This window comes from Homo sapiens, chromosome 12 (assembly GCF_000001405.40).
Source record: "Homo sapiens chromosome 12, GRCh38.p14 Primary Assembly".
In the NCBI taxonomy this organism is placed as follows: domain Eukaryota; kingdom Metazoa; phylum Chordata; class Mammalia; order Primates; family Hominidae; genus Homo; species Homo sapiens.
The window spans coordinates 63,598,217-63,610,521 of NC_000012.12; the positions used below are offsets into that span (position 1 = coordinate 63,598,217).

The 12,305-nt window shown below is 35.2% G+C and overlaps 1 protein-coding gene across 24 annotated transcripts in view; it reads right to left on the minus strand.

Moving 5' to 3' along the window:
- Window positions 1-12,305, minus strand: part of DPY19L2 (dpy-19 like 2) — a 109,893-nt gene that overhangs the window by 39,304 nt on the left and 58,284 nt on the right. For 20 of the 24 annotated variants that reach the window (XM_047428722.1, XM_011538215.3, XM_024448947.2 and 17 more), the window contains 2 exons: window positions 10,400-10,459; window positions 2,090-2,170 (listed from right to left, as the gene is read on the minus strand). In XM_047428722.1, coding sequence (XP_047284678.1) covers window positions 2,090-2,170; window positions 10,400-10,459 — 141 coding nt within the window. Of the gene's footprint in view, window positions 1-2,089; window positions 2,171-10,399; window positions 10,460-12,305 lie in introns of those variants that run through there. The other 4 variants (XM_024448944.2, XM_047428726.1, XM_024448953.2 and 1 more) reach the window with 2 other exon arrangements.

A 12,305-nucleotide genomic window follows, 5' to 3' on the forward strand; every position in this document is an offset into this window, starting at 1 on the left:
GTTAATTACATTTTATAATAAGACAATTTATCATGAAAAACTATTTTACTTAACCTCTTTCAACATACATTGTAGGTCATAAGCTTTCTGTGCACTGTCATTTTCACAAAGCCTCGCAGACTGATTACAATATTTGGTACTTCTTGATATTTTATAGACATATATTCAAACCATTGAATATGAGACCTGATCCTCATAAGAATTACAATAATTATACATACGACTTTGATCTTTGACTTAGCTATTTGATCTCCAAGGCTAAAAGTAGATACCAACAACCAAACCCAATGCAGAACTTCTATTTTTCTACTGATTATATACAACCTGCTCTTGGTGAGACAATTATTTTTCCACAGCATCCTCAGAAGTCCAGAAAAAGGAAAATATTTGGCAAGTAAACTCTTAATTCAAATTATTTTATAGTGACAGAAATTATTTTATAACAAATTTGATGATTATGAGTGGTTTTCATTCAATTATTTTTCCTAATCTACCAGTACTCAAGGATAATTTAGAGTTGCACTTTATTTTTCTAATTTAGAATAGGCCTGGTGACTAACAGTAATTTAACCAAACCACTATAATTTCAGGTATTCCTCGTAACTGTCACATAAAGGAAGTCACTCAGGACTACCAAGGAAGTGTGTTTGCATTTTTTTTTTTTTAATTTGTAGGGCAGGCATGGTGGTTCACACCTGTAATCACCAGCACTTTGGGAGGCCCAGGCAGGCGGATCACTTGAGGTCAGGAGTTTGAGACCAGGCTGGCCAACATGCTGGAACCCCATCTCTACTAATAATACAAAAATTAGCCAGGTGTGGTGGCACGTGCCTATAACCTCAGCTACTCAGGAAGCTGAGGCACGAGAATCGCTTGAGCCCAGGAGATGGAGGTTGCTGTGACCCGAAATTGGCCACTGCATTCCAGCCTGGGTGACAGCATGAGACTGTGTTTCAAAAAACAAAAAAAAAAAAAAAAAAAGATTTAGATTTGTAAAGATCTGGGGGTCAATGTGAAGTAAGGCAAGAAACATAATCATGAACAAACTTAACAGATAAATAAATAACTTAGAAGGCCTAAATAAAGTTTATCATAAGACATATATAATAAAGTTAAAAACAATAAAAAGGAAAGGAGAATGGGGAAATCTGTCAGACATGCCAGAGAACAGCAGCAACAAATAAACTAATAAACCACCATGCAAAACTAGCAATAAATGGCAAATGCTTACATTTAGAAATTTTATTTAATATAAACATGTTGCATGTTATATTGCATAGAGATAGCATTTGACCTTTTAGAGAAGTAATACTATAATCCCTTGCCAAAGTACATAATTTCAGCATCAAACAGGGCCCTAATTGGATAGCATTAAATGAGGTAAATTTCAAAATTGATTATTATATGATATACTCATGTATGCTTATTTCTAAACAGAAAGTGCTAGAAATAAAAAGTAGATTCATGCATTGTTTTCTATTCCCTAAACCAGTTAGTTAAGCAGGGACTTAGGCCTTGAAAAGGGCTACTCTTTAAAACATTAACAAACAGAAATACTACATGAGAGATAAATGCTCTGCATGTATGTCCTAGAAAATGAAAAGATCAAAATTTTTTAACATTCTCTTTTTATATAACAAGAAAGGCCTTAAAACATCAAATCATACATTGATTTTAGTCCACAGTTATAAATAAATAAAACAATATTGAGATTTTAAGAGTTCTATATTTTCAAAGCTGAGGACAGCCTCCCATATGTTAACATCTGCAATAAATGGATAACTTATGATGTAAACAACTAATTATTTGTATTTTAACTGAAATATAAACAAATAACTACTTAACAAACTATTAGTATTTTTTTACTAAAAGGGCAAGTCAGCATTCATGAATATTTTTTCTTTTTAGTGGGTTGCAAAGATCACTGAACTGCAAGACTTTATTATTGACTCTGCCAATAACTCGTCTAGAGACCTTAGAGAAGGCACTTAACCTCTGTAAAATGAAGAGATAAGAATAGATGGTTTCAAAGTTTTCATTCAGCTACATATTTATAAGAACTTTCATGTTTTAACTAAAAAGTACTTACGTGGTCTGAAACGCCTAAGATTTTAGATGTCAGAAATTTCAAAATGATTGTTCCACACCACCAGGCACTACCTTGAATTAGCTAGAAAATAAAATAGAAGTCCAGTATTTAAAACTACAAATCACCCAGCTAAAGTATTCAATTATGTCTACAAATGACATAGAAAAAATTTAATTATGTGAGGTATAAATGGTGAAGTTTTTAAAAAAAGTTCCTTTAGAAAATCTTGTTTAAAAGCAAAGAATTAAAACTGATGACACTGGTATAAAATATATAGCAACACTAGAATTCTACATATCCTAAATCTTTTTTTTTTTTTTTTTTTTGTCTTAAGGAGTGAAAGGTTAATAGCCAAGAAAGAAAGAAGGAAAAAGAAAACAGCTCCCCGTACAGAGACAGAGGAAGGGGGGATTTGAACAAAGAAAAAAACCCGTGTGCATCGGAAAAGTGGCTGCTTATACATATCCTAAATCTAAAGGAAGTTTTTTTTTTTTTTTTGAGAGGGAGTCTCTCTCTGTCCCCCAGGCCGGAGTGCAGTGGCGCGATCTCTGCTCACTGCAAGCTCCGCCTCCCGGGTTCACGGCATTCTCCTGCCTCAGCCTCCCGAGTAGCTGGGACCACAGGCACCCACCACCATGCCCGGCTAATTTTTTGTATTTTTAGTAGAGACGGGGTTTCACCGTGTTAGCCAGGATGGTCTTGATCTCCTGACCTCGTGATCCACCCGTCTCGGCCTCCCAAAGTGCTGGGATTACAGGCGTGAGCCACTGCACCCAGCCAATCTAAAGGAAGTTTTAAAAGGTTACTTCCTTTTGATTTCTGTTAAGAAAAGGGAGTGTTTATGTGTTTGTTTCCAAATATTATTTCTCAGCTGAAAATCCATTTTTTAAAACACTACCTTAAAAGTTCTTCTACCACTCCTGTGGAAATATATGAGCCCATCATCAAGAAATAACAGTTTGAAATGTGAAAACTTAAGCTTTCCTTTAAGAAAGAGGAATATGAACTAGAACGGCAATGAGGCTTCTGTGTTGTTGTTGTTGTTTATTTTTTGACTAGCCTTGATTAAAAAGGGAAGAATTGTGTACTTCTGGTTAGCCTGGGGAAAGTTACAGCAACCTAAATTCAAATCTCTGCATATATCAACCAACAAGTAGAGCAATACAACCACATACATGGCAAAAAACTTCAAATTACCTATGAATCGAAAAGGAGGCAACGAATCTATAGAGTTATACCTCAAGTCCCTGACCTAAGCCTTTGCAGAGAATGAGGGGAGACCCATAAAAGGATAAAGAAGAAAAGGAAAGACAGGGGTCAAAATTGGAAATAAAATAACCCAAGAAAGAGAAAAGTCCATCCTATGTGTAAAAAGAGCTCTGGGAGATTGGTAAATGGGAGTACAGAGCAGGGCCTAAGAGTGAGTAGGAACAAAAGCACTGATGTTAGAAAGGCATTATTTCTGGAAAGGAAGGAGGATAAAAAGGGGAGTGCAAGAAGGAAAAAGTATCCAGCAGGAAAAATGAGAACCCAAACCAAAAGACTATCCATCACTACTGCCATCATGCACAAAAAAAGAGAAAAGTTATTCATTGAAAAAAATCACACTATGCTACATTTTCAGAAGAGGTTTGCACTTGGACTAGAAAACACAAAATAATTAATAGATGAAAAAATGCCTTTATAAATATCCAAAGCTTCTTTAAGAAGATAACAAACATGAAAATCAAATATTTCAGCTAATGAAATCCACACCACTGAATGATAAAATCTCACAAAACAGAAGAATATTATGCAGAATTAAAAGTTGAACTAAATATCCTCAAACGAGCATTCAGAAATATTAAAAAAGCAATTTAAACAAGAAATTCAAAAACCAAGAACAGAAATGGGGAAAAAAGCAGAAAGAAATAAAGAGTTTATTAGACATAGAAAGGGAATGGAAGAAAAGGAGAATACTATCAAAAAAAATAAAAACTGAATCACAAGATGATAAAAAGAAAAATTCAAATAATGAAGGAATTGAAGTAAAGGCACTAAAACAATGATGAAGAATGAAAATGATACCAGAGAAAGATGTGGGAAGTATCAGAGAAAGTGGTAGAAATGGAAGAAAGGCACATAATTATAACTGGAGTGCCTGAAAAAGAAAACCACAGCAATGAATCAAAACTAGTGTTTAAATTATAATCCAAGAAAACTGTCCAGAAATAAAAGAAGACCTGAATCGGCATTTGGAAAGGATCCAGGGGGTACTGGAAAAAATTAATCTGGTATGGTAAACTAACTCAAGGCATCTTTCAGTAGAACTATGAAAAATGAAGAAAAATTCCTCAGAACCTCCAGGCACAAAAGTCACATAATTTATAAGGGACAGAAGAATTTGGCTAGCATCAGACTTGTTAAAAGAAACATACAAACCAAAGCAGTGGTGTAGATGTATTTTTAAGAAACTTTAAAAATTGAGAACCAAGAATTTTATATCTAGCCAATCTGTCATTCAAGTATAGACGTTATTTAAAGAAGTTGAAAATATGCAACAATTGAGGAAATAATAGTAACTTTCCTAAATTCAAAAAGTTTAAAATAAAAGAGAATCATATACAGAAACAAAGCAAATATAGTCAAATATACATAAAACTTACAACAAAGGTTTTCACATTATCTCACAAAGCAAAGACAGACTCAATTTATGCTACACAGGGAAGACAAACAAAAACAGATTCAGAAAGGTGAAAAATAGAATGATGGCAGCAGCATGGCAGGCAAATGCCATTTCCATATGGAAACTAAGGAAGACATTTAAAGCAAGGATAAGAAGCAAATTCATGGCCTCAAAAGCTTTATCAATAAAAATGAAAGAGTGAAAATAAATGAATTAAATCCTTGACTTAAAAATCTAAATAAAGAATAACAAAATAAAGCAAAAAAAGTACACGAAAGGAAATACACATGGGAAGAATAGTCTATTATATCTACCCCTCTGTGTATCTATTTTGCTGTTTTATATTTCTTCCCTACATTCTAGGATTCCTTCTTGCATTTCCTTTTTGTTTCCAGAACTTTTTAAATTTTAAGTTCTGGGGTACATGTGCAGGATATGCATGTTTGTTACATAGGTAAACATGTGCCATGGTGGTTTCCTGCACCTATCAACCCATTACCTAGGTATTAAGCCCAGCATTCATTAGCTACTTTTCCTGATGCTCTCCCTTCCCCTACCCTCCCCTGACAAGCCCCAGTGTGTGTTGTTCCCCTCCCTGGGTCCATGTGTTCTCACTGTTCAGCTCCCACTTATAAGTGAGAACATGCAGTGTTTGGTTTTCTGTTCCTACATTAGTTTGCTGAAAATAATGGCTTCCAGCTCCATCCATGTCCCTGTCAAGGACATGTTCTCATTTCTTTTTATGACTGCATAATATTCCATGGTATATATGTATCACATTTTCTTTATCCAGTCTATCATTCATGGACATTTGGGTTGATTCCATGCTATCAAAAAAAGAGCTCATATAGCCAAGACAATCCTAAGCAAAAAGAACAAAGCTGGAGGCCTCAGGCTACCTGACTTCAAACTATATTACAAGGCTGCAATAACCAAAACAGCATGGTACTGGTACAAAAACAGGCACATAGACCAATGGAAGAGAATAGAAAACTCAGAAATAAAACCACGTATCTACAACCATCTGGTCTTTCACAAACCTTACAAAAGAACTTCAATTAACCATTCTTTAAGGTTCTCTGCTAGCCACAAATTATCTTAATTTTCATTGATTAGAGAATGTCTATTTCCCCTTCATTCCTAAAGGAAACATCCACTGGATATGTAATTCATCTTGACAAATGTTCTGCCCCAACCTTCTGGCTTCCTTACTTTCACATGACAAGTCTGCTACAATTCAACTCAATTTTGCCCTGTAGGTGATGTGTCATTTCTCCATACCTGCTTTCAAGATTTTTTTCTTTTCATTTTAAAAGTTAACTTATAATGTATCTTGGCATGGATTTCTCTGGGTTTGTCTTACTTGGGAATCGCTCAGTATCTTCACTCTGCAGGTACAGATTCTGCAGGTGTGTCTTTCACCACATTTGGGGAGTTTTAGCAATTACTTCTTAAAATACTATTCAGCCCCACTCTCTTTTTCCATTCCTTCTGAAATTTTGATGATACAAATATTAGATCTTTTGTTACTACACCATAGGTCCCGAAGGCTCTGTCCTTTTTCCTGTGATTTTCTCTCAATTTAGATTGGGAGATTTCTATTGTTCTGTCTTCAAGAGCACCGATTGCTTCCTCTGTAATATTCACTCTGCTACCAAGTCCATTTATTAAATTTTAATTTCAGTTATTGTATTTTTCAGTTCTATAATCACCAAGTTGTTCTTTCTTAAAAAAAAAATTCTGTGGTGAGCTTTTATAGCCTTTTCATTTGCTTCCAGAGTAATTAAAACTGCTCATTGAAGTGTTTTTATGATGACTGCTTTAAAACCCTTGTCACATAATCCCCACATCCTATTCATCTCAGTGTTGACATCTGTTGACTGTCTTTTCTCATTCAAGTTGTTATTTTCTTCATTCTTGCTATGATGAGTGGTTTTTCTACTGTGTCCAGTACATTTTTTATATTATGTTAGAGACTGTGGATCCTATTTTAAATTTCTATTTCAGCAGACAGTCACTTTGTTTTTAGGTTTATCACGCAAGTCCTGGCCTACTTCTGTTTGCTATAGTTACAATGACAGTTTAGTTTTCAGAGCCTTTGCAGTGCTAGTGCTATTCTGGTCAGCTTGATTCATCTGGTGCCCTGGTGCTCCGTCTCAGCCCCAAATCATGCTACCAGTGTAGGAAGAATGTACTTCCCATGTCCTGTTGCCATGAGGTGGAGGGTGAGAGACACCAGGATTGTGGGCTAGGAGGTCGGTAAGGAGCAGAGGGCTCTTTCCTGGGCTGCCTAGTCCTAGCAGGGCACCTGTTAGTTCCCTGCTGCTGCTACCTGCATGGGCAGGCTTCTTGGAGGGAATAGTAGATACCAGACCCACATCATAGAGAGCATTTCCCTGGAACCTCTTTCTGAGTGTCTTCTGCCACTGGATGGAGTTTCAGGAGATGGCAGGCTGTGGTGTTTTTCTGTGCGTTCTGAGGTACCTAACTAGTCTGCCTTTCTATAGCATTAGGCTGGGATTGGAGCTATAGTTATGAAATCATGATTTCATACACACACACGTGTGCACACACGTGCAGTGAAAGGGCCTAGAAACAAGGACACACTGGTAGTAATGAGTGCACATACCACTCAGGTCTTGGTTTCCAAATACCATTGTCCTCTAAAAGGAACCAGGGCTCCTTGGAAAAATGGCTGATTCCAAGGCTAGCACAAGGAAAATCAAGAAAAGCCTGGAGCATTATAAATTTATAAAGACATATCAAAAAGACATCCAGCTTAGGAACATTCAAAATGGCTAGGCCTGGAACTGATATTTGTGTATAACATCTGGTTTTTCTCATATAGATAGACTATCCCAGCATCATTTAGTGACATGTGACCTTTAAGACAATCTTGCTGAAATTGCTTTGAATCTGAACATCAACTGGGGAGAACTGCATTACATGAACCTTCATACACATAAATGTGTTTTATTTTTCTATTTATATCTTAGAAATTTTAAAATAAATTTCCCCATACAAATACTGTATGTATTTTGTTAGATTCATTCAGATCCTATGCATTTTTCTTCCTAATACATAAGGCATATTTTAAAAAAATATGTTTTCTGTTTGTTGCCAAAGAATAGAAATCCAATTGATTTTTTAATATTAAACTTATATCTAGCCATGGTATTGAATTCTTCTAATTTCTAATAATTTGTCAATTATTTTATTCTTTCTAGGTAAATATGATACTATAATAAATTTTGCTTCTGTTTCTTTCCTTTTCCTATTATTTACTTTTCTTGCATTACTAGGCTAGTTTGGACCTTTAATAAAATGTGAAAAAGCACATTTATCTTTATATTGATTTTAAACAGAACACTCTAAATACCTTATTATCGGTAAGACTAATGACTGCTGAAGAATTTTACTGGGTTGAGAAAACTGTTATTTATACTGTGTTAAATGTTTTCATTATAAATGGGTGTTCAATTTTATCAATTTTATTTTCTGCATCTAATGGGATGATCATAAGATATTTTTCTCTTTTAATCTCTTAGTGCGATAATTTACATTTTTGGATTTTCTAGAAACATCTTTCGATTCCTAGAATAAGCCAGATTTATCACAAGTGGATTATCTTTATCAGATATATGGCTGTTCTTGAGTTACTAATCTTTTACACTTTTGTGTGTAAGGAATGTTTTTAATCTAGGTGAAATTTTGAATCTATGCTCACAAGTAAGAATATCCTTTCTCATACTATCCTTATCTGGCCTTAGTACTGAGCTTTAGATTATCTTGGAGGTTCCATTTCCCTTCTTGTAATGATTCTCATGCTTCATGATGCACACAAAGTTCCCCTTTGTAAATTTTGTAAATTTCAGCATGAGCTCAATTCAACAATTACTTCATCACCAAAAACTGGAGTCTCCCATTAAACAGTGAACTTGCTTCTATTGACATTAAACTCTAAAGTGAATCACTTATATCTAAAAATACCTTGTTCAGGTTGTGTGTAATAAATACTTATTTTTGCCAAAGATACACAGAGCAAAAAACAGAAAATAATACCTAGGGAGGCTTAAAAAACATGTAAGCTGAACATTTGGTTAAATCTCAACTTTTCCTTCCTTAGATTTTTTGTTTCTTTGATATTCTTGATTTTAAAACTTGGTCAATTCATGTTCTTTCCAGTCTATTACTGAAAATGTTGTTGAAAATGAAGACAGTTAATTTTCCTTTGAGTGCAGCCTTGGCAGAATTTTTTTTGATGCTTATGGACACTCTTCTATTTATTGTCATTTTTCAATAGTTTGCAACTGAAATTCTGACCTCCTTTTGAGTTATTAAATTGCTCAATTTTTCTGAAGTGAAAGAATTATATATTACAAGTGTAATGTCGATATGTGAATTTCTACAAAGCCTGCATGTCTAAGGACAGGTGACCTGGGTAAAGAGTCAAATTGGTAGAACCAACAAAGAATAATAAAAAGACAAAAAAAGCATCATGCCATTCATTCAACAACTTAGTGGACAAATCTTTCTATATTTTCACCATAAAGGATGGGAGAATGCCTCCAACAAGGAGAAAATAGCAACTCCTTCCATTTTGTTCTCTTGTATTGTGGGTAGGAACCTACCTCCTCAACTTGTAACATTTCCAGACTTATCCTTTCAATATATAACATGTAAAGATACAGTTCATTTCTTCTGTCACCCAGGGTGGAGTGCAATGGGGTAATCATGGCTCACTGTAACCTTCCAGGGCTCAAGCGATCCTCCCACCTCAGCCTCCTGGGTAGTTGGGATCACAGGCTCATGCCACCATGCCCAACTAGTTTTTCTATTTTTTGTAGAGATGGGGTTTTGCCGTGTTGCCCAGGCTGGTCTCAAACTCCTGGGCTGAAGCTCTCTGTCCACGTTGGCCTCCCAAAGTGCTGTGATTATAGGCGTGAGCCAGTGTGTGTGGCCCAAGGTTTATTTTTTAATAGAAGAACATCACAGACCAGAGAAAAAGAATATTGTCTGTCTCCTGTAAGAGAATTTAGGAGTTGCACTACCTGCCTAATAACTTATTTTACTAGGAAACCATGGAGGTAATATGGGCCATCCATCTGCATATTTGGGAAGAAGCCAAACAAAAATTAGGTAGTGGCTGAGTTCAAATTAGAAGGGGCTGGGAGACTGTAAGGAAAATGTTAAAAGGACAAAAGTAATAGAGTCTAAAGTTGGAAGCAGAAGGAAAGAGAGACAGATGATGGATAGATGCAGAGGAAAGAAAAGGAGAAAGCTGGCAAGAAACTACAAACTTGAGTTATGTTGAAGGGAAGGTTAATTGAAGCTAGAGAGAGAAACTCAAGACAAACAAATTTTAAAAAGCAAGGCTGTATGGATATAGCAGAATGAAACATAAAGGAAGAGTGGCCTGAAAGTTAGTTGTGAAATATGTGAGCTAACTTCTTGAAAATGATTTCTAGTCCTTGCTAAGGACTATTTCCTTACATATCTATCTACCTTAGATAGTAACTATTTTTAAGACAGTAGCTATTTATTAACTATAAATCATTAGCATTTTAAAGCATATTAACTGTGTTCAGTTTATAGAAATAAAAAGTAGAATTTAAATAAACTGCATTAAAAACATTGAATCTTACCCAAAAGTTGAGTTTAGATACTCCCAGTTTTTGAATTTCATTTCTCTTTAGAATTATTGCCTAAAATGCACATAAGGGAAAATGAAACAATTCAATACAATTAACATTTATATTTTGTATAAATGGTACATTTCAAAAATTATATAGCCACCCTGTTCCATCTCAGCTATCACCAGCCATTTTCCTCCTTAACTGTTGATTTTTCAAATTTTGGACAAATTTTGGCAAATTTCCTTGAGGTGAGAGTTAAATGGTTTGTGTGTCAAAAAGTTGCCTCATTATTTCCTCACTTAAATACCCTGACCATTTTCTGCAGGCTAATTCCTCTACAAAGATAAATGGTATGTGAGCAGATGAGAGCAACCATGCAAGTCTGTATGTCAGTTATCCAGCAACGTTAGTGAACTAAACTAACATGAAAATCCTTCCTCTCCAAACTGCCGAATAAAATATTTAAACATGTTTAAAAAATATATACTTATGTGAAAGAGAAAGAACTTCTCCGATGCTAGAAAAAATATTATTTTTAAAAAATACAATATTAATCAGCAGAGAAGCACCACCCCTGGCAGTCTTTATAAAGGCCTGTAGAATAAGGTTCCAACTATAGGCTTGTATTGTAAGGGGAGGGCAGCAGAAGAGGCCTTGGGTCTATGCAAGGTAAGAAGTTGGGATTGACACTAATACATAAAGCTAGGGTCCTCAAAACTATACCTGCAGTGCTATGAACTGAGTATTTGTGTCCACCTCAAATTCACAGACTGAATCTTTAATCCCCAGTGTGATAGTGTTTGGAGGGTGGGCCTCTAGGAAGTAATTGAGTCATGAGGGTGAAACCCTCATGAATGGGATTAGTGTGCCCATATTACAAAAGACTAGAGAGTTGATGTCTCTCTCTACCATGTCAGGACACAGCAAAAAGGCTTCTGTCTGCAAACCACAAAAAGGGCTTTCACCAAGAACCAAATCAGTTGGCACCTTGATTTTTGAACTGCTCAGCCTCCAGAACTGTGAGAAATAAATTCCTGTTGTTTAAGCCATCCTGTCTGTGGTACTTTTGTTACAACAGCCCAAACTGACTAAGACACACAGTGACTAAGAATACTTCACCTACCATCTCTACAAGTTGATAGGTTATTTGTTTATTCCCAAGTTTGGGGTGAAAACAGTGCTCTCATGAGAAACTGAATTCTCGGACTTGCGTATTATTTAGACTTGGATTCCAATTTTGTATCATTTAGTTGGTGTAGAAATTCCCAAAGTGAGCCAGGATTACTAAACTTCCAATAGGAAAATATAAATGTATCAGATGATTCATTGCAACATTGTTTGTAAATGCAAAAGTTAGGCAACAACCTAAATGCCCAGACATAGGAGAGTGACTGAATTACAGTAAATCCACAGTAGAACACTAGGAAACTACCAAGAAGAATGAGGAAAATCTCTATGAACTGATATTCAGGATAGGTTGTTAAATGAAAAAAAAAAAAAGGCAAAAGACTATCTTTAATATAAGAAGAAGAGATATAAAAAATATACATGTAATAGTTATTAGTACTTTAAAAAGCCAACTAAATGGGTCAACCAGAAAACTAATGAGATTTCTTACCTACAGCGAATAGGCAGTAACAGGGTGAAAAGAAAGGTAGAGTGAATGTGCTGGAAGGAATAGTGGGAAGTATTTTCTGAGTATAATTATATATATATATATCTTCCTCATTGAAACATGGTAATGTTTCACCCAAAGTAACTAAAATCAATCAGAATGAAACTTCTGCTTCTGTCCAAGTTTGTATAACAGGAACCACATTTACTTTCTCACCCTAAAAAACTAAAATACCAAGAAAAATAGATTATAGAGCAACTATGAACAATTATATGCCAACAAATTAGATAACTTATAAGA